Source organism: Homo sapiens, chromosome 7, assembly GCF_000001405.40.
Source record: "Homo sapiens chromosome 7, GRCh38.p14 Primary Assembly".
In the NCBI taxonomy this organism is placed as follows: Eukaryota; Metazoa; Chordata; class Mammalia; order Primates; family Hominidae; genus Homo; species Homo sapiens.
In genome coordinates this window covers 74,653,763-74,674,632 of record NC_000007.14, presented here as the reverse complement: position 1 = coordinate 74,674,632, position 20,870 = coordinate 74,653,763, and the positions used below count along the sequence as shown (strand labels likewise).

The window sequence follows — 20,870 nt, the reverse complement described above, 5'->3', positions numbered from 1 at the left end:
CGGGAGGCAGAGGTTACAGTGAGCTGAGATTGCACGACTGCACTCCAGTCTGAGCAACAAGAGTGAAACTCCATCTCAAAAAAGTATATTAGAGAGGCAAGGAAACTGGGTGGAAATGTGATCCTGGATTACAGTCTTGCAATAAAGGACATCCATCACCAAAACGATGGGCAGAACTTGAATGCAAGTCTCTACGTGAAAGATATGTGAGCAAGTTTTGTTTATTTGCTGTTCTTGCAACTATTTTCTAAGTTTAAAAGTGACTCAGACTGGGCGCCGTGGCTCACCTCTGAAATCCCAACACTTTGGGATGCTGACGTGGGAGGGCTGCTTAAGACCAAGAGTTCGACACCAGCTTGGCAATAGAGTGAGATCCCTTCTCTACCAAAAATTTAAAAAGTATCCAGGTGTGGTACACGCCTGTTGTCCCAGCTACTCAGGAGCCTGAGGCAAGAGGATCACTTGAGCCTAGGAGTTCGACGCTGCAGTGACCTATGACCACACCACTGCACTCCAGCTTGGGAGACAGAACAAGACCCTGTTAAAAAAAAAAAAAAAAAAAAGTCATAGATCACTAGCTGGTTTATATTAGTTGTACATTTTACCTGCTTTTTAAATTTTGTAGCTATTTTTCTTCTTTTAAAAATAGTTTTATGCCAGGCGCGGTGGCTCACGCTTGTAATCCCAGCACTTTGGGAGGCCGAGGTGGGCAGATCACGAGGTCAAGAGATCTAGACCATCCTGGCCAACTCGGTGAAACCCTGTCTCTACTAAAACTACAAAAATTAGCTGGGTGTGGTGGTGGGTGCCTGTAATCCCAGCTACTCGGGAGGCTGAGGCGGGAGAATCGCTTGAACCTGGGAGGTGGAGGTTGCAGTGAGCTGAGATCACACCACTGCACTTTAGATTGGCGACAGAGCAAGACTGGTCTCAAAAAAAAAAAAAAAAAAAAGAGGCCGGGCGTGGTGGCTCATCCCTGTAATCTCAACACTTTGGGAGGGCGAGGTGAGGCAATCACCTGAGGTCAGGAGTTCGAGACCAGCCTGACTAACAGAGAAACCTTGTCTCTACTAAAAATACAAAATTAGCCAGGCATGGCTGCGCATGCCTGTAATTCCAGCTACTCGGGAGGCTGAGACAGGAGAATTGCTTGAACCTGAGGGGCAGAGGTTGCAGTGAGCTGAGGTCAGATCACACCATTGCACTCTAGCCTGGGCAACAAGAGAGAAACTCCATCTCAGACAAAACAAAAACAAACAAACAAACAAATCCAAAAACCACATAGCAGTTAAGAGCAGGAGTTGTCTGGCTGCCTAGTTTTATATTAACACTGTCCCTTACTATATTTTTCAGATTAGTTAACCTCATTTTTCTCAACTTTAAAATGGGATCATAATAGTGCCTACCTCACATCTCAGGATTGCTATGAGGATTAAAGATGTTAATGCAGGTAGCACTTAAAACAGTAAACTCAGCTCGGGGCAGTGGCTCAGGCCTGTAATCCCAGCACTTTGGGAGGCCAAGGCGGGCAGATCATGAGGTCAGGAAATGGAGACCATCCTGGCTAACACGGTGATACCCCATCTTTACTAAAAATACAAAAAATTAGCCGGGCGTGGTGGCACGCGCCTGTAGTCCCAGCTACTAGGGAGGCTGAGGCAGGAGAATCGCTTGAACCCAGGAGGCAGAGGTTGCAGTGAGCCGAGATCGTGCCACTGCACTCCAGCCTGGGCAGCAGAATGAGACTCTGTCTCAAAAGAAAAAAAACAAAACAGTAAACTCATAAACTCTCAAAAAATGTCATTGTTGTCGATATTGTCTTCAGTATTCTAGTCCAATCTCCAGCTCTGACATATCCTCCAACAGAGAGCTTCCTGTTTACTGTACATAGTATCTTAGAAAAGATAAGTTCTCCAGAGACTACACTAGACCTGGAATAGGCAGGACTTCTGTATGCCTTGCTTATAATGAACAATACTTCAATTCTAAGAGTTTATCTCCATAGGCTTACTAGGTATTTTCCCAAGGAAAATAAATTAGGTCAGCAATTCACAGGCTCTGTGTTTTTTTTTGTTTGTTTGTTTGTTTTTCTTGAGACAGAGTCTCACTCTGTTGCCCAGGCCGGAGTACAGTGGCACGATCCTGGCTCACTGGAAACTCTGCTTTCCGGGTCCAAGTGATTCTGCTGCCTCAGCTCCCGAGTAGCTGGGATTACAGGGGTGCACCATCACTCCTGGCTAATTTTTGTAATTTTAGTAGAGACGGGGTTTCACCATGTTGCCCAGGCTGGTCTCAAACTCCTGAGCCCAGGCAATATCTGCACGCCTCAGCCTCCCGAAGTGCTGGGATTACTGGCGAGAGCCATCGTGCCCGGCCAGAGGTTCTGTTTTACAAATATTTAATAACAGGATATAAACTATCACGATTTATATTAATGTATATTAACATATACACTTCAGCAGATAAGAAATAGAGCCAAAGAACTCATTTTAGTTCATTTGACTTTAATTTTTAACTCATATATATATGAATATATATAACTCATACATATATATGAATGGCAAGTACTTCCAAATAAAATAAGAAATCCCTAGGCCAAATCTTTGATCAGGATTGATTTTTAAATCAAGGGTTTGAATTTTTTTTTTTGAGACAGGGTCTTGCTCTGTCACCCAGGCTGGAATGCAGTGGCAGGGACATGGCTCATTGTAGCCTCAACCTCCTGGGCTCAAGCAATCCTCCCACCTCATCCTTCTTAGTAGCTGAGACTACAGGAATGCACCACCACACCCGGCTAATTTTTTTGATTTTTTGGTAGAGACAGGGTCTCACTATGTTGCCCAGGCTGGTGTCAAACTCCCGTGCTCAAGCAGTCCTCCCACCGTGGCCTTTCAAAGTACTCAGATTACAGGCGTGAGACACCATGGCCAGCCGGCTGTGAAATTTTTCTAGGGGCGTATGCTGACATTTTAAGATACAAAATTGTTAATTTCTATCTGCTGAAATAAAGCTGGCACTTACATCAATAAATAACAAATATCCCTCAAGAAAAAATAAAATAAATTTGAAGGGTTAAGATTTGAAACGATTTACAACTGTGTTGTATTCGTACTTAAAGCTTTATAGTATGGTGACCCCATTAAAGAAAAAAAAAAAACAAGACACTTCAGACAGCTAATAGCTAAATTTAACTTTTTTAAAAAGCCAGGTGAAGGAAAGAATGACAAAATAATAAAGAAAAGATCTAGCCAGGTGCAGTGGCTCATGCCTATAATCCCAGCACTTTGGGAGGCCAGGGTGGGCAAATCACCTGAGGTCAGGAGTTCAAGACCAGCCTGGACATCATGGTGAAATTCTGTCTCTACCAAAAATACAAAAATTAGCCGGGTGTGGTGGTGCACGCCTGTAATCTCAGCTACTCGGGAGGCTGAGGCAAGAGAATCACTTGAACCTAGGAGGCTGAGGTTGCAGTGAGCTGAGATCACGCCACTGCACTCCACCCTGGGCAACAGAGTGAGACTCTGTCTCAAAAAAAAAAAAAAAAAAAAAAAAAGGATCTGCCCAATCAGTGGATCACAAGTTCAGCTCTGAGTTCTGAGTTTCACAGTAGCCAAAACAACATCCTTAAAAAACAAACAAGGAAAAATCTTACCAGCTATTCGGAAAGACCTATTTTCCTTGCACCACAGTTTAAGACACCATTTTTGCATATGTATTAATTATACTTTTAAATTGATAGTCCAGATTTTTAAACAGCAGCAGCTTACTCTGCCAATACACAAAGAATGTGTCCCTTTGACATGACTCCAAATTTAAAACTCAGTTGGATTTTGGAAAAACCATTTGGAAGAGAAAATGAAAATCAAGTAGCTATTATCTAAAGGTCCATCTTTACTTTGTTCTTGAGGTGTTTTTTTTTTTTGTTTTTTTTTTGTTTTTTTTTGAGAAAGAGTCTGACTCTGTCGTTCAGGCTAGAATGCAGTGGCGTAGTCTCAGCTCACTGCAACCTCCGTCTCCCAGGTTCAAGCAATTCTCCTGCCTCGAGTACCTGGGACTACAGGTAGATGCCACCACACCTGGCTAATTTTTTGTATTTTTAGTAGAGACGGGGTTTTACCATGTTGGCCAGGATGGTCTCAAACTCCTGACCTCAGATGATCCACCCACCTCGGCCTCCCAAAGTGCTGGGATTACAGGCGTGAGCCACCCACACCCGACAATCTTTACTTTTTTAAAAGCACTGTTCACAGAAGGCAGGCAACAGAGCAAAGCTATTAGGAAGGTGAGCTTTGCAATCAGGCAAAAGTTCTGAATTCAAGTCCTGTCTCAAATCTTACAGGTGACCCTGGGATTCTTTAATCCCAAATTTACTAGTCTGGAAAATGACAACAGTCTGCATACTTACCTTACAAAGTTGTTATCAGAATGCATGTCAATTCTTAATAAAGTGCATCACAAAAGCATTCAGTGAATGAGCAAGCATTTATAATTTAAACTTCACTAAAATAGTTATTTTAAAAATATATGTACATATATCTATTAATTTACATAAAAACTCACCAAATCCAAGCCTGGTAAATTGAAAATAGCTTATTTCCCAACAAACTGCATTAATTATCACGGCTAAATAAAATAACCTATTTTCTGAGAGAGCAGGAAAATTAATGAGACAAGTGTCAAAATAAATAACTGCTTTGAAATGAAGTATGTGTACCTTTTAAGGCATTTGTGCATGAACACCTGCTTATGTCAAATTTACTCCTCAAAGATCGTTTTAAAATTTAACTTTAAAAAGTCACCTTGGCCGGACACGGTGGCTCACACCTGTAATCCCCGCACTTTGGGAGGTCGAAGTGAGTGGATCACAAAGTCAGGAATTTGAGACCAGCCTGGCCAATATGGTGAAACCCCGTCTCTACTAATAATACAAAAATTGCTGGGCATGGTGGCGTGCACCTGTAGTCCCAGCTACTCAGGAAGCTGAGGCACGAGAAGAGCTTGAACAGGAGGCGGAGGTTTCAGTGAGCCGAGATCGTGCCACTGCACTCCAGCCTGGGCAACAGAGGGAGACACTGTCTCAAAAAAAAAAAAAGTCACCTTCCAGCTGGGAGCGATGGTTCACGCCTGTAATCCCAACAGTTTGGGAGGCCTAGGCGGGCGGATCACTTCAGGTCAGGAGTTTGAGACCAGCCTGGCCAACATGATGAAACCTCGTTCTCTACCAAAAAACACAAAGATTAGCCAGACATTGTGGTGCACGCCTGTAATCCCAGCTACTCAGGAGGCTGAGGCACCAGAATCGCTTGAACCCAGGAAGTGGAGGTTGTACTGAGCTGAGATTGTGCCATTGCACTCCAGCCTGGGAGACAGAGCGAGACTGTCTCAAAAAAAAAAAAAAAAAAAAAAAACTAAACTAGTCTGGATATACAAACTAAACTAAAAGATTCTTTATCCTGAAGCTCTCAACAATGTCATTTGCCCATGCCAGTATTTTCCAAGAAACATGCTGTGTTCTGAGGCCTCATAGGATGAGCCCATCAGTATGTTGAATAAATGAATAGTTACTGTTCCCGACATGATAAAAGATCCCTTCTTTTGGGCCGGGCGTGGTGGCTTACACCTGAATCCCAGCACTTTGGGAGACTGAGGTGGGAGGATCACTTGAGCCCAGGAGTTTGAGACCAGCCTGGGCAACACAGCGAGATCCTGTCTCTATAAAAATAAATTAATGTATTTTTAAAAATTTAAACGATCCCTTCTTAGCCAGGCACGGTGGCTCACATATGTAATTTCAGCACTCTGGGAGGCCAAGGCAGGTGGATCACGAGGTCAGGAGTTCAAGACCAGCCTGGCCAACATGGTGAAACCCCATCTTTTCTAAAAATACAAAAATTAGCCAGGCGTGGTGGCCGGCTCCTGTAATCCCAGCTACTCAGGTGGCTGAGGCAGGAGAATTGCTTGAACCCAGGAAGTGGAGGTTGCAGTGAGCCAAGATCATGCCACTGCACTCCAGCCTGGGTGACAGAGTGAGACTCCATCTCGATAAATAAATAAATAAATAAATAAATAAATATGATCTTTAAGGACTGTGTATGGAAATGAGATCAAAACACAAGCAGGAATTCTCAAAAGCATAGAACCTATACAATCAGAAAACTTCCTAGGCTCTGTCTGCTAAACAGGGTTCTATATAACCAGTTATATTATGGATCAAACTCTTCATCATGCTCCACTTCTCCAAGTACACCATAATATAATTATATATACTTCTTACATACACACACACACACACACACACACAATGGGCTTTGCCATGCTACAAAACAAAGACTCCAAAAACCACAAGAAGGATTAAATAAGAAGGAGATTCTAACACACAGATGAACTTGATAATATCCTACATTCCAGCCTGGGCAACAGAGCAAGACCCTGTCTCAAAAAAAAAAAAAAAAAAAAAAAGTTCTGCACCACTGAACTATACATACACTTAAAAATGGTTAAGACTGGGCGCGGTGGCTCACGCCTGTAATCCCAGCACTTTGGGAGGCCGAGGCAAGTGGATCATGAGGTCAGGAGACTGAGACCATCCTGGCTAACATGGTGAAACCCCATCTCTACTAAAAATACAAAAATTAGCTGGGCGTGGTGGTGCGCACCTGTAGTCCCAGCTACTTGAGAGGCTGAGGCAGAAGAATCACTTGAACCCGGGAGATGGAGGTTGCCATGAGCCGAGATCATGCCCCTGAACTCCAGCCTGACAACAAAGCAAGACTCTGTCTCAAAAAAAAAAAAAAAAGTTTCTTTTGGTAAAATCAGGCTGGGTGTGGTAGCTCATGTCTCTAATCCCAGCACTTTGGGAGGCAGATGCAGGCAGATTGTTTGAGCTCAGGAGTTGGAGACCAGCCTGGGCAACATAGTGAGACCCCCATCTCCACAAAAAATAAAAAAATCAAGCCAGACGTGGTGGCATGCACCTGTAGTCCCAGCTACTCGGGAGACTGAGGTGGGAGGATGTCTTGACCCTAGGACACGAAGGTTACAGTGAGCCAAAAGCATACCACTGCACTCCAGCCTGGGCAACAGAGTGACATCCCGTCCCTCCCCCCACAAAAAAAGGTTAAAATGGTAATTTTTGTGTTAAGTATATGTTACCACAATTTAACAACAACGACAACAACAAAAAACACTACAAGGAACCACTCCAAAGAAAGGCATTCACGGTGTAAATGGCAGACACAAATTTATTCTTCATAAAGGAACAAATTCATCTTACAGGATTTTCTTTTTTTTGAGATGGTGTCTTGCTCTGTCGCCTAGGCTGGAGAGCAGTGGCAAGATCTCGGTACACTGTAACCTCCACCTCCCGGGTTCAAGTGATTCTCATGCCTCAGCCACTCAAGCAGCTGGCATTACAGGCACCTGTCACCACTCCCAGCTAACTTCTGTATTTTCAGTAGAGATGTGTTTTTTTGTTTGTTTGTTTTCCTTGAGACATAGTCTTGTTCTATGGCCCAGGCTGGAGTGGAATGGCGTGATCTTGGCTCACTGCAACCTCCGCCTCCAGGGTTCAAGTGATTCTCCTGCCTCAGCCTCCCGAGTGTCTGGGATTACAGGTGCGCACCACCACGCCTAGCTAATTTGTTTTTGTTTTTTGAGACAGAGTGTCACACTGTCACCCAGGCTGGAGTGCAGTGGTGCGATCTCAGCTCACTGCAAGCTCCGCCTGCCGGTTTCACACCATTCTCCTGCCTCAGCCTCCTGAGTAGCTGGGACTACAGGCACCCGCCATCACGCCTGGCTAATTTTTTTTTTTTTTTTTTTGTATTTTTAGTAGAGACAGGGTTTCACCATGTTAGCCATGATGGTCTCGATCTCCTGACCTCGTGATCCACCCGCCTTGGACTCCCAAAGTGCTGGGATTACAGGTGTGAGCCACCGTGCCCGGCCAATTTTTTGTATTTTTAGTAGAGACGGGGTTTCACCATGTTGGCCAGGCTGGTCTCAAACTCCTGACCTCAAGTGAGTCATGGCCTCCCAAAGTGCTGGGAGTACAGGAGTGAGCCACCACACCCAGCCAAAAAAAATTTTTTTTAATGCTTACCGGGGGGGAAAACGAAGAAAGAAAACGAACAGGAGGAAGGAGTAACACTAATGAATCTTGCAGGGTCTATTTCTCTGCCCTTTCCTCATATGGACATAATACATGCCATCGTCCTCCTCTGTCAAATTATCTCACAGATGAGATCATGTAATTTAAGTGCATTAAAGTCTAATGCCAAAGCCAGTTACTAATTTTAGTTCACTTCCAATACCTTATTTATTTTCTTGAAACCAATTACGGTCTGAAAACTCAATCTAGATAAAATTCTACTCACGTCATGTATGTGTTATAGTCAACAGTAAGAGCTAAATTTCTAGATATAACAAATTAAAATGAACAACATATAAAGCATACATTCTCAGGTTTCATCAATCCAACTGTCAAGCTCTGGCCAGGCGCGGTGGATCACGTCTGTAATCCCAGCACTTTGGGAGGCTGAGATGGGCAGATCACCTGAGGTCAGGGGTTCCAGACCAGCCTGGCCAACATATAGTAAAACCCCTTCTCTACTAAAAAATACAAAAATTAGCTGGGCATGGTGGCGCACGCCTGTAGTCCCAGCTACTTGGGAAGCTAAGACAGGAGAATCACTTGAACCCGGGAGGCAGAGGTGAAGGTTGCAATGAGCTGGGATCCCGCCACTGCACTCCAGCCTGGGTGACAGAGGGAGACTCCATCTCAACAAAACAAAACATAAAAACAATGTAACAGTCACAGGGGAAAATCCCACAGAGGAATAAGTCCTTGCCCTTGCAATTCATATTCTCCAGAGTTCTTGGAGATTAACGTCATAGTCGATATTACTAGTAAAATTTTCGCTTCCTCAATTTCCCAAAAGTCTTTATAATAGTACTTTTATGACTAATATTTCTTGAGTGTCTACTACATGCCAGACAGCAACCTAAGCACTTAAACTCTATCCTTGCAACAGCTCTTAGAAGCGAAACATGTTCTATTATCAACTCCATTTTTAAAAATAGGGGCCAGGCGTGGTGGCTCAGGCCTGTAATCCCAGCCTTTGAGAGGCTGAGGTGGGCGGACCATCTGAGGTCAAGAGTTGGAGACCAGCCTGGCCAACATGGTGAAACCCTGTCTCTGCTAAAAATACAAAAATTAGCCAGGTGTGGTGGCGCATGCCTATAATTCCAGCTACTCGGGAGGCTGAGGCACAAGAATCACTCGAACCCGAGAGGCAGGGGTTGTAGTGAGCTGAGATCATGCCACTGCATTCCAGCCTGGGTAACAGAGCAAGACACTGTCTCAAAAAATAAAAATAAAAATAAAAAATAGGCCGGGCACTGTTGGCTCACACCTGTAATCCCAGCACTTTGGGAGGCCGAGGCGGGTGGATCACCTGAGGTCAGGAGTTCGAGACCAGCCTGACCAAAATGGAGAAACCCCGTCTCTACTAAAAATACAAAATTAGCCAGGCGTGGTGGTGGCACATACCTGTAATCCCAGCTACTCAGGAGGCTGAGGCAGGAAAATCGCTTGAACCCAGTAGGCGGAGATTGCGGTGAGCCAGGCGCGCCACTACACTCCAGCCTGGGCAACAAGAGCAAAACTCTGTCTCAAAAAAAAAAAACAAAAAATAGGGAAACATACAAAGATGAAGTGAAATGCCCAAGGTCGCACAGGCAGGAAACGGCAAGGGCCAGGACTGGAATCCAGGCAGTCAGACTTCAAACTTGTGTCGCTAGCCATAAGCTATAAACCCTCTCTCAATTTATAAATTTGTCTTCCCTCTCATGATATATTTTTTAAGTAACTAGTTCTTTAAAAATCCTACATAGAGTGTTGGCCAGGCGTGGTGGCTCATGCCTGTAATCCCAGCACTTTGGGAGGCTGAGGCAGGTGGATCATTTGAGGTCAGCAGTTTGAGACCAGCCTGGCCAACATGGTGAAACCTGTATCTACTAAAAATACAAAAATTAGCCGGGCATGGTGGCACACACCTGTAATCCCAGCTACTCAGGAGACTGAGGCAGGAGAATCGCTTGAACCTGGGAGGCGAGAGTTGCAGTGAGCCGAGATCGCGCCATTGCACTTTAGCCTGTGCGACAGAGGGAGACTCCTTCTCAAAAAAACAAAAACAGAAACAAGTTACAACCAAAGGAGAATGAGTCAATCCTCCAACAACTCTGACAGTTCCTGGCTATACTGAACTTTCTCTTACTTTCTCAGTAGGCCAAAGTGGTAAAAAGCAAATGAGTACTGCCAGAAACAGGCATGGAATACCAAAACAAGAATTTTACAGAGGAGAAAACAAACAGGAAGACAGCAGGGAGAGTTCCAGAACAAAAGGACAACAGTAAAGGACGACAGGGCAAGAATGGAGAATGAAGAATTATCAAGACAATACCTTCACCTCTTCCGATGACGTACCCACACAATTTTTACAGGATACACACATCCTTGGCTGGGTGCGGTGGCCCAGCACTTTCGGAGGCCAAGGCGGGCAGATCACCTGAGGTCAGGAGTTTGAGACCAACCTGGCCAACACGGTGAAACCCCGTCTCTACTAAAAATACAAAATTAGCCGGGCATGGTGGCGGGTGCCTATAGTCCCAGCTACTTAGGAGACTGAGGCAGGAGAATCGCTTGAACCCAGGAGGCGAAGGTTGCAGTGAGCCAAGATCACGCCACTGCACTCCAGCCTGGGTGACAAAAGCGAGACTCTGTCTCAAAAATAAATAATAATAAAATAAAATGCAATAAAAAAACACACATCTTCTAAGACACTAAGGCGTTTTGCTCCCCCAGGTAGGTAGCCCCAATACACTTTAGTTAACCGAGTATGAGTCTTCATAGAGCTATGCTGCCAGCTTAAGCCTACTGATTCCCAAGTATCTCAACTCTACAATTAGAATAAGCAACTGATTAGGTGTATTTTCTACTTTCTTTCAGTTATTAACAATGAATAACCTTCACTCAATAAACGAACCAGGCGCAGTGGCTCACGCCTGTAATCTCAGCACTTGGGGAGGCCGAGGTGGGTGGATCACTTGAGGTCAGGAGTTGGAGACCACCAGCCTGGCTAACATGGTGAAACCCCATCTCTATGAAAAATACAAAAAAATTAGCTGGGCATGGTGGCACATGCCTGTAATCCCAGCTACTCGTGAGGCTAAGGCACAAGAATCGCTTGAGCCCGGGAATCGGAGGTTGCAGAGAGCTGAGATGGCACCACTGCACTCCAGCCTGGGCCACAGAGCGAGACTCCATCTCAAAAAAATAAATAAATACTTTCCCTTAGACTGACATAAAAATGATTTGACATCCATCTATTTAAGCCAGTGGTAAAACAATTTCGTGTTAATTATACCACCCCAGTTATGAAGCATATTGCAAAAACTCATGTTTATATAAAACATTCATGTCATCAACAAAGAATGAAACAACAGTAGAAATGAATTAGGTGAAATGCAATGCAAATAGCTGGTAACCAGTAATAACAGAAAAGGTTAAGTGTTTAGTAATTGTTCAGTGTTCAGCTCCTTTAGATGATAACAACCTGTCCACCTATGGGTCATCGAAAATGCCAGAACATAGGACAGTGGCCATGGAAGTTGGGATCCCCTGAGGAGTGTGTACAACTCGCCTAAGGGTGTAGGTGGGGAAAGGAGGGGGGTCATCAACTGTAAACTAAAACCATTCCTCCCACCTATCTGCGGTTATTTTCCCCGGAAAGAAATCCATTATAATTTTAAAAACCTAAAAATCACAGGGCGCCTGTAAGCCCAACACTTTGGGAGGCCTAGGCGGGCAGATCACAAGGTCAGGAGTTGGAGACAAGCCTGGCCAGCATGATGAAACCCCGTGTCTACTAAAAATACAAAAAATTAGCCAGGCGTGGTGGTGCGTGCTTGTAATCCCAGCTACTCAGGAGGCTCAGTCAGGAGAATCACTTCAACCCAGGAGGCAGAGGTAGCAGTGAGCCGAGACCACGCACCTACACTCCCGCCTGGGCGATAGAGCAAGACTGTGTCTCAAAAAAAAAAAAAAAAAAAAAAAAAAAAAGGGTCCAGGTGCAGTGGCTCACGCCTGTAATCCCAGCACTTAAGGAGGCCAAGGCAGGCGGATCACCTGAGGTCAGGAGTTCGAGACCAGCCTGACCAACATGCAGAAACCCCGTCTCTACTAAAAATACAAAGTTAGCCAGGCATGGTGGCGCATGCCTATGATCCCAGCTACTCCGGAGGCTGAGGCAGGAGAATCACTTGACCCTGGGGGGGCGTAAGTTGCAGTGAGCTGATTGTGCCATTGCACTCCAGCCTGGGCGACAGAGTGAAACTCCATCAAAAAAAAAAAAAAAAAAAAAAAAAAAGAAAGAAAAAACCTAAAAATCTTTCTCAGCAAGAATTGCCCCCAACCCCGTCCCGCAAAAAGAACCCCCAAAGCCTACATTTTAATGTCAGTCTCTGTAGTCATATTTGAGTAAGCTGAATCGCTGGAGGGGCATGTGGCAGAGGAGACTCAGCACACAATGCTCCCCAACCCCCCTACCTCCAAGGGCCAAAACTACAAGCTGTGGTCCTATCACTCAAACCTTCTGTGTGGTGGTGTGGCAGACTTTGGGCATCTGAAGAGGATAATGTAACAAATGCCCGTGCTGCGACTAAATTAATAAATAAATCAGAGTGGGAAAAAAGCCAAACTTCCAAAGATTTCCCATTTTATTCCACACTTAAATCCATGGCCCCTTTTTAAACTGGAGACTTATGAAACTTTTAACTTTTCTAATCATGGCTAACAGGAATTCTCAACTCTCAGCCAGTTTTCTGAGCAATCTACCGTCAGTCGTCCGAATTATTTTTCATTCTTTAACATCTATTTTATTTTTATTTTTTTTGAGACACAGTCTCGCTCTGTCGCCCAGGCTGGAGTGCAGTGGTGAGATCTCATCTCACTGCAACCTCCACCTCCTGGGTTCAAGAGATCCCCCTGCCTCAGCCTCCCCAAGTAGCTGAAACTACGTACGCACGCCACCACACCCGGCTAATTTTTGTATTTTTAGTACAGACGGGGTTTCGCCATGTCGGCAGGCTGGTCTCCAACTCCTGACTTCAGGTGTTCCACCTCCCTCGGCCTCCCAAAGTGCTGGGATTACAGGTGTGAGCCACCGCACCCGGCCAAGATCTAATTTTAAAGTAAGAAAAAGCAAATATCTCCAATAAATTTCTCTCCCTTCATTTTGCACCATTGTGAATGGTTCTCAAAGGGCTGTCCGGGAAGCAGCCACCATCAACACCACCTGGGGAGCTAATCGAAATGCAAATTGTGGGGCAACTCCCCAGACCTGCAGAATCAGCCTGGGAGGTAGGGCCCAGCAAGCAGAGTCCGCACATGCCAGCTCTCCCGGGGACGCCCAGGCGCGGTGGTTTCACAACCTCGGCTTAGGGGTTGAGTCACACTGGCCAGGTTCATGTGCTAGGCAAGCAAGAGTACAGAACTCTCCAACTTCTCTAGACTTGTTCCGCTCTATAGAATAGAATTACAGACTTGTCACAAAGATTAAATAAGAAAAATACTGTACATCCAAAGCGCTCAAGAGCCATGGAGGGGGCACGGAAGACACTCAAATGTAAGCAGCATTGCTACCACCGGCAAGGCACGAGGACGATGCCAAACTGGAGGGGGAAGTGGAGGGAGAAAGACATAGGAGGAAAAGGCTTCTTGTCCCTGCCCCTACGAGCTCAACACCCAGTGACTAGGCCAGATGCAGAGGAAAGTAAAAGTGCCCTTAGCCGGGCGTGGTGGAGCGCTCCTGTAATCCCAGCTACTCAGGAGTCTGAAGCAGGAGAATCGCTTGAACCCGGGAGGCGGAGGTTGCAGTGAGCCGAGATCGCGCCACTGCACTCCAGCCTGGGCAACGAGAGCGAAACTCCGCTTCCGAAAAAAAAAAAAAAAGAAAAGAAAAGAAAAAGGAAAAGGAAAAAAAAGAGAGAAAATAAAGGTGCCCTGCGAGGAAGGGCACACAAGTTGATTGGGAGACTAAGAAGGAACAAACTCTGACTATGCAATATAAGAGAAGACCACAGGCCGGGAGCGGTGGCTCACGCCTGTAATCCCAGCACTTTCGGAGACCGAGGCAGGCGGATCACCTGAAGTCAGGAGTTCAAGACCAGCCTGACAAACATGGCGAAACACCGTCTCTATTAAAAATACAAATATTAGCGGGGCTTGGGGGCAGGCGCCTGTAATCCCAGCTACTCGGGGGAGACTGAGGCAGGAAAATCGCTTGAACCCGGGAGGTGGAGGTTGCAGTGAGCGAAGATCGCGCCACTGCACTCCAGCCTGGGGGGATAGAACGAAACCCTCTCAACAACAGCAGCAAAAAAAAAAAAAAAAGAGAAGACCTTAAGGAAGTGGCTGCATATGAGCAAGAAAGATTTCCATAGGCTGAAAAATGTCATTCCAGCCAAAAGACCAAGATCTCAAGGAGGAGGAGAAACGAAAGCCAAGGTAGCAGCCACAGAAAAATCCTGTAGCAGGAAATAAAATCGGTCATCCCACACCACAGGCCTCAGCCTGGGGAGAAGACCCCGCCTCCGCAGGGCACTCTACCTGCACGTTCTCATTTGCAAACTAACTTCCCCTTTTGTTCCCTGAAGGACTGGAGACTTCTCCTCTGCACTGTTGGCTGATCAAGCCATTGTCTGCGGCAAAGTTGAATTTAAAAGAGATGAGGCCCAGCGTGGTGGCTCAAGCCTGTACTCCCACCACTTTGGGAGGCCTAAACGGGAGGATCACCAGAGTCCAGGAGTTCCCGACCAGCCTAGGCAACACAAGAAGACCCCATCTCTAAAAAAAAATTTTAAATTAGCCAGGCGTGACCCAGGGCGGTGGCTCACGCCTGTAATCCCAGCACTTTGGTGGCAGGCCGAGGCGGGCCGATTGCTTTCAGCTTGATTCAAGAGTTGGAGACCAGCCTGGCCAACATGGTGAAACGCCATCTCTACTAAAAATACAAAAATTAGCCGGGCGTGGTGGGCACGCCTGTAATCCCAGCTACTCAGGAGGCTGAGGCAGGAGAACGGCTTGAACCCGGGAGGCAGAGGTTGCAGTGAGCCGAGATCACACCAGTGCACTTCAGCCTGGGCCACAGAGTGAGACTCCATCTCAAAAAAAAAAAAATTAGCAGGGCATGATGGCATGCGCCTGTAGTCCCAGCCACTGAGGAGGCTGAGGCAGGAGGATCGCTGGAGCCCAGGTGTTGGAGGCTGCAATGTGCTATGATTGTGCCACTCTGCGCTTCAGCCAGGGCAACACAGAGAGACCCTGTTTCTAAAAAAAAAAAAGAAAATTAAGCCGAAAGCGATGGCTCACACCTGTAATCCCAGCACTATGGGGGGCCAAGGTGGGAGGATCGCTTGAGCCTAGGAGTTCAAGACCAGCCTGGGCAACAAAGTGAGAACGCATCTCCACAAATAATTTTTTTTAAAAAAAGGAGGTCAGTAGTCAGCAAGAGCTGCGCATCGCCAAGAGTGGACACTACTCCAACAGCACCCCACCTGTGAACATCCCCAGCCGCAAATCAGCGCAAATCCATAACCTAGGGAGGACAAAATTCGCTACACGAAAAAGCAAAAGCTGGATTAAGAAAAAGTGGAGAAGTCGGGGAGCGGGAAGGAGACAGCTTTTTCCATTTCATTTTCCTTCTTCCTCTGCACTCCCGTCGTCTGGGTGCTGGCTGAACCCAGACGGCTTAATTTTCATGGCCTAAAGCTGAAGTTTTCCTTCCGGTCATTGTGTTTATTTCCCCCAAAGAACAGGCCCCGCGGGGCAGGCGCGCCGGGCCGGCCCGGGACAAAGCCCACTGCGGACTCCACCTGGGAGCGGGGCGGGGCGGGGGACAGCGCTCCCGCTCCCCCGCCCGCCGCAGTTACCAGGCAACGCGCGGCCCCGCCCCCGCGCCGGTTGGCCAATCCCGCGCGTCTGCTGCCCCGGCGCAGGAGCCCCAGATACACCAGGCGAGCGCGACCCCACGACGGCTCGGGCCTGGCACCGCGCGCGCCCCCGCACCGCCTAGCCGGCCAATCAGCGCGGCGGGGCATGCGCAGCCCGCAGGGCCGCTCGCTCGCTCGCGCGCGGGATCGCACGCGCGAGGCGCCCCCCCACCGCACGCCGGTCGGCGCGCGCGCCCCTCCCCCACGCGCACTGAGGCGCGCGCGTGCCACTGTCGTCCCCCGCGACCGCGTCCGTGCCGCCCCACCCCCATCGCCTCGTTTCGGCCACTGCCAAGGCCGGCGGGGCTCGAGACCCGGCGAGGCGGTGGGGGTGGGGGTAGGGGGAGGCGGCACGGGCGCCCCCCAAGGCCCCACACCGCGCGCGGCGGGCCGCGGCTCCCAGGCCCCTGTCCCTGCAGGCCCCGGCGGGGCAAAGTCTCTAATAAAGGCCCCCGCTCGCAATGGCCCCCGAGGCGGGGGCGGGGGGCGCGGGGATGAGGCGAGAGGGACTCACCCGAGTGCGGCCGCCTCCAGGCAGCTCCGGGGCCGGGGGTGCCGAGGGGAGGCGAGTGTGGGCCGCGCGCGGGCTGCGGCCGCCGCGGAGCAGCCTCGGCTGAGGGGAGCTGGCGAGCGGACGGGAGGCGAGAGGGGGCGAGGGGCCCGTGCGTGTCGGTCGCGCTCCTGTCACCGCCGCATGGCCGCCCCGCAGGCAGGGCCTCGCTCAGCGCCTTGATCCGATCACTGGGGGACAGAGGCAGAGGCCGGGGTGACCGCGGCAGGCGGGCGGCCGCGGCTGGAGAGCGCGTGCGGGGAAGCGGGGGGGCGACCGGTGGCCCCTTTTCTCTGCTCTCCCAGCTTCTCTCTCACCCTCCTCCTCCTCCTCCTTTTTTTTTTCTTTTTTTTCTTTTTTTTTTTTTTTTTTTTTTTTTTTGTTCCTCGAAGGCGCGTTGCGCCTGCGCATCCGCAGCGCCGCCCAGCGGGAGTTGTAGTTTCGGATGCGTTCCCCGTCAACGCGGCGGCGGCGGTCGTGGACTACAACTCCCAGGAAGCACCGCGCCGGCTAGCCCCGAACCCGAGGACGAGGCAAGCGCGGCGCCCGGCCCTCTCCAGCAAGGGCTGTCAATGGAGGCGAGGGTGGTGGGAGCGAGAACATGGCTGCACCTGGGGCCTGCGCGGCCGCCCGGGTGGGGGAGGGGAGCCGGGGTGCAGAAACGGAAATCTGGACGGGTGGTGGCTCCGGCGTCGTCCCCACCGAGCGCCAGCCGCCGTCCAAGTCCGCCACTTGCTCTTGCACCCCACATTCCTTGCAAATTGCGAGGCAGGGAAGCTGCAAAAGCCGGGGAGCCCCGGGCTGGGCCGTCGCCCTCCTTGCTCTGCAAAAGGGGAGTCCTTCCGCCTTGCACCACCCTCCAGGACACAAAGAACTCCTCTCTAGTGTTTTCCAAGCTGGCCTCCAAAGAGACCGTTGCCCCCAAGTTCGGACAGGCGAGAGGGGAGGAGACCTTGTGTTTTAATTCCTCCCCCAGACCCTCCGCCTCTATCTCTCCCTCAGGATTTGGAAGGAAACTTGCAAGGGAGTGGGAGCAGAAATCCTGACTCGTAGCTCCTGTTTTGTTCTGTCAACCGCGATGCGATTTAACTCAAACTCCTCCCCCTACCACTATTTTTTGCTTCTCAACTTGAATTAGCCGGTGGGTTTTGAAAATGGAGAGACATTACTGTTCACCTAAGTTAAACTCCAAAACTTTACAACCCCGAGGCCGACGATTTTTAGATGTTTATGTAAAGCACGAGATTGAGTGGTTTTTTGATTCCCGCCCGCCCCCCCACCCAGTACCACCCACTGGGGATTCGGGCCACGACGGCCATCCTCCCCCCACCCGCCGCTTCTCGGTAGGTGGCGACCACGACGCTTTTTCCAGCCTCCAAGCCTTTGTCGCTAGCGAGAAAACTTTCCGAGCAGCCAGTCTTTTGATGTGGGTTCCAAAAACCTTTCCTTTCAATCTGGGTTCTCCGATTGGCATTCCCCATCGTCTCTCTTGCACAGACCGCACCCAATAAAGCCTCCTCTAGAATTTTCATGTTGGATTTTTTTTGAAAAATACATGGAGAGCGTAAAGCTCACCGGAGAAGCAATCTGATTACAGAAGCCTGAATTTTTGCGATTTCCCGGACAATGTCTAGGATCCCTTCGGTCCTTGCCTAATAAGATTGTGACTCTCCTTTGTCGATTGTCTCGAAAGTCATTCATTAAGTTTGCACAAGAGCAACTTTCTTTTTGCACTTGTATTTCATTGACATTTAGTAATATTTAATTAAATTCTCTATTCCCAATACCACGTGCCACTGGCATATATTTAGGAACAAATTTAACTCTTGAGAAGCCTATAACTCACTCTAGTAAGAGCAGCCAGCCTACGAGATGCAGATTTCAGCTGCTGTGGACTTCAGTGAGTATCTTTTGTTGAGAGAGTGGTTTCTCCACCTGGAGGGGTCAGGGAAAGGATTTCCTGGGTATAGTGGAGTCGTGGAGTAGAATTTGGGGGGATGTTACAAAGTGAGTTAGCAAGGCAGAAGTTTATTTAGCCAAGATGACTCTTATCATCGTGAAAACGTTTGGAAGGTAGTTCCTTTCTTCTATGAATTTGTTTAGTGGTTCACAGTGGAATTTTTTTTTTGAGACCGAGCCTCGCTCCGTCACCCACGCTGGAGTGCAGTGGCGCGATCTCGGCTCACGGCAACGTCTACCTCCCGGGTTCAAGTGATTCTCCTGCCTCAGCTTCCTGAGTAGCTAGGATTATAGGCGTGCACTACCACGCCCAGCTAATTTTTGTATTTTTAGTAGAGACGGGTTTCTACTAAACATGTTGCCCAGACTGTTCTCGAACTCCTGACCTCAAGTGATCTGCCTTCCTCAGCCTCCCAAAGTGCTGAGATTACAGGCGTGAGCACCGCACCGGGCCCACAGTGGAATTTTGCTGCCTCTTCATAAACAACTCCAACTTCTTTGAGACTGAAGCAATTCCTAAAACGGTTAGGTCAACATGAGCTGGTTTTGAATTACCTCTAGTCAGAAAGCTGTCTCTGTTGAGGCAATGTGTATGCAGACAAAGCGTTTTTCTGAGCATTTTGCCATTAAGGTTTGTAACCCTCAAATTCATGTGTTACAGTCATAAAGATCTTGCGTGTTCTGTCTTCATTAAGGTCTGGCTCACTGCGGCTTGTTGGAACACTTGTCAACCAATTTCTCCTTCATCTTAGTGGCATAGATACTACATTAATTGTGGCCATTGTTATAAATCACTTTGGATACTATCTCTCTGCAAAGCTGGGGTTTTGTTTTACTTTTTTTTTTTCCTGTTTTTGAGACAGGGTCTTACTGTATCACCCAGGCTGCACTGCAGTGGTTCGATCACAGCTCACTGCAGCCTCCAACTCCAGATTCAAGCCATCCTCCCACCTTAGCCTCCCAAATGCCTGGGACAACATGTATGTGCCACCACACCCAGCTAATTTCGTTTTTTGTAGAGACGGGTCTCACTATGTTGCCCAGGCTGGTCTTGACTTCTTGGGCTCAAATAAGCCTCCTGCCGTGGCCTCCAAAGTGCTGCGATTACAGGCATGAGGCACTGCACTGGGCCCAGGTTTTTTTTCAAATGTAGGATCAGATTACTGTTTTGGGGATTGGGCAACAGAAGAAAAATAATAGTTGATTTGTGTCTAAAAATGATGTAGTAGGAAGTCCTCCTTTATTTTATTTATTGATTTTTTTGGGAGGGGACGGGGTCTTACTCCGGTGCCCAGGCTGGAGTGCATGGTGCGATCTTGGCTCACTGCAACCTCCAACTCCTGGGCTCAAGCGATTCTGCTGCCTCAGCCTCCCGAGTAGCTGGGATTACAGGTATGCACCACCATGCCCGGCTAATTTTTGGATTTTTAGTAGAGACAGGGTTTCACCATGTTGGTCTGTCTGGTCTCAAATTCCTGACCTCAAGTGATCTGCCTGCCTCAGCCCCCCAAGGTGCTGAGATTACAGGCGTAAACCACTGCACCCAGCCAGGAAATCCTCCTTTAAAGACTAGAATCGGGCTGGGCACAGTGGCTCATGCCTGTAATCCCAGCACTTTAGAAGGCCGAGGCAGGCAGATCACCTGAGGTTAGGAGTTCGAGACCAGCCTCAGCAACATGGAGAAACCACATCTCTTCTAAAAATATAAAATTAGCCGGGCGTGGTGGCGCATGCCTGTAATCCCAGCTACTCAGGAGGCTGAGGCAGGAGAATCGCTTGAACCTGGGAGGGAAAGGTTGTTGTGAGCCGAGATCATGCCATTGCACTCCAGCATGGACAACAAGAGCGAAACTCCGTCTCAAAAAAAAAAAAAAAAATACTAGAATCACAGGATGCATATACCAAGAGATGCAGACTGGATTGGGGCTTCAGCAAGAGCAGATTTGCGGCTCTCAGCTCATGGTCAGTCAGGACATAAGTACAGAGTCCAACAGCTGGCAGAACCATCCATGTTATTTCAATTATTTCCCCCTCTCTTTTTGTTAATGTTTAGCTTAGTCTTCAGATAAGCGTCCATATGATGTGACTTTTCCATTCTTCTGTTTGGTGGGAAACAAAGCCAGGTCAAATGGGCCTTGGCCAAGCTAGAGATGGATCTGGACCCCACGTGAGCACTTCCACCAACTCAGATGCATCTTCGCTTAGACTCTGGGCTTAGAGCTTCGTTGACTGCTTTGAAATAGCATGTGATTGGCGCGGTGGCTCATGCCTGTAATCCCAGCAGTTTGGGAGGCCGAAGTGGGAGGATCAC

General features: G+C 48.2%; 1 protein-coding gene across 6 annotated transcripts in view, besides 14 other annotated features; it reads right to left on the bottom strand.

Moving 5' to 3' along the window:
- The window catches only part of GTF2I (general transcription factor IIi), a 102,975-nt gene extending 86,060 nt beyond the window's left edge, over positions 1-16,915 (bottom strand). For all 6 annotated transcript variants that reach the window (NM_032999.4, NM_033001.4, NM_001163636.3 and 3 more), the window contains exon 1: positions 16,565-16,915. The gene's annotated coding sequence lies outside the window, so the exon portion shown is untranslated. The remainder of the gene's footprint in view (positions 1-16,564) is intronic.
- Positions 7,576-7,625: an enhancer, noted in NCBI's record as "active region_26175". NCBI's record gives its function as "activates an Ori minimal core promoter by ATAC-STARR-seq in GM12878 lymphoblastoid cells {active_cell/tissue: GM12878}" and the evidence as "EXISTENCE:reporter gene assay evidence [ECO:0000049][PMID:35858748]".
- Positions 9,273-9,322: an enhancer, noted in NCBI's record as "active region_26174". NCBI's record gives its function as "activates an Ori minimal core promoter by ATAC-STARR-seq in GM12878 lymphoblastoid cells {active_cell/tissue: GM12878}" and the evidence as "EXISTENCE:reporter gene assay evidence [ECO:0000049][PMID:35858748]".
- Positions 11,681-11,760: an enhancer, noted in NCBI's record as "active region_26173". NCBI's record gives its function as "activates an Ori minimal core promoter by ATAC-STARR-seq in GM12878 lymphoblastoid cells {active_cell/tissue: GM12878}" and the evidence as "EXISTENCE:reporter gene assay evidence [ECO:0000049][PMID:35858748]".
- Positions 11,811-11,890: an enhancer, noted in NCBI's record as "active region_26172". NCBI's record gives its function as "activates an Ori minimal core promoter by ATAC-STARR-seq in GM12878 lymphoblastoid cells {active_cell/tissue: GM12878}" and the evidence as "EXISTENCE:reporter gene assay evidence [ECO:0000049][PMID:35858748]".
- Positions 12,815-13,457: an enhancer, noted in NCBI's record as "H3K27ac-H3K4me1 hESC enhancer chr7:74075507-74076155 (GRCh37/hg19 assembly coordinates)". NCBI's record gives its function as "activates a minimal SCP1, AML or CMV promoter by ChIP-STARR-seq in naive H9 embryonic stem cells {active_cell/tissue: H9 hESC(naive)}" and the evidence as "EXISTENCE:reporter gene assay evidence [ECO:0000049][PMID:30033119]".
- Positions 13,142-13,421: an enhancer, noted in NCBI's record as "active region_26171". NCBI's record gives its function as "activates an Ori minimal core promoter by ATAC-STARR-seq in GM12878 lymphoblastoid cells {active_cell/tissue: GM12878}" and the evidence as "EXISTENCE:reporter gene assay evidence [ECO:0000049][PMID:35858748]".
- Positions 14,346-14,485: an enhancer, noted in NCBI's record as "active region_26170". NCBI's record gives its function as "activates an Ori minimal core promoter by ATAC-STARR-seq in GM12878 lymphoblastoid cells {active_cell/tissue: GM12878}" and the evidence as "EXISTENCE:reporter gene assay evidence [ECO:0000049][PMID:35858748]".
- Positions 14,756-14,985: an enhancer, noted in NCBI's record as "active region_26169". NCBI's record gives its function as "activates an Ori minimal core promoter by ATAC-STARR-seq in GM12878 lymphoblastoid cells {active_cell/tissue: GM12878}" and the evidence as "EXISTENCE:reporter gene assay evidence [ECO:0000049][PMID:35858748]".
- Positions 15,756-16,275: a silencer, noted in NCBI's record as "silent region_18288". NCBI's record gives its function as "represses an Ori minimal core promoter by ATAC-STARR-seq in GM12878 lymphoblastoid cells {active_cell/tissue: GM12878}" and the evidence as "EXISTENCE:reporter gene assay evidence [ECO:0000049][PMID:35858748]".
- Positions 16,346-16,635: a silencer, noted in NCBI's record as "silent region_18287". NCBI's record gives its function as "represses an Ori minimal core promoter by ATAC-STARR-seq in GM12878 lymphoblastoid cells {active_cell/tissue: GM12878}" and the evidence as "EXISTENCE:reporter gene assay evidence [ECO:0000049][PMID:35858748]".
- Positions 16,656-16,835: a silencer, noted in NCBI's record as "silent region_18286". NCBI's record gives its function as "represses an Ori minimal core promoter by ATAC-STARR-seq in GM12878 lymphoblastoid cells {active_cell/tissue: GM12878}" and the evidence as "EXISTENCE:reporter gene assay evidence [ECO:0000049][PMID:35858748]".
- Positions 16,936-16,985: an enhancer, noted in NCBI's record as "active region_26168". NCBI's record gives its function as "activates an Ori minimal core promoter by ATAC-STARR-seq in GM12878 lymphoblastoid cells {active_cell/tissue: GM12878}" and the evidence as "EXISTENCE:reporter gene assay evidence [ECO:0000049][PMID:35858748]".
- Positions 17,006-17,125: an enhancer, noted in NCBI's record as "active region_26167". NCBI's record gives its function as "activates an Ori minimal core promoter by ATAC-STARR-seq in GM12878 lymphoblastoid cells {active_cell/tissue: GM12878}" and the evidence as "EXISTENCE:reporter gene assay evidence [ECO:0000049][PMID:35858748]".
- Positions 17,206-17,365: a silencer, noted in NCBI's record as "silent region_18285". NCBI's record gives its function as "represses an Ori minimal core promoter by ATAC-STARR-seq in GM12878 lymphoblastoid cells {active_cell/tissue: GM12878}" and the evidence as "EXISTENCE:reporter gene assay evidence [ECO:0000049][PMID:35858748]".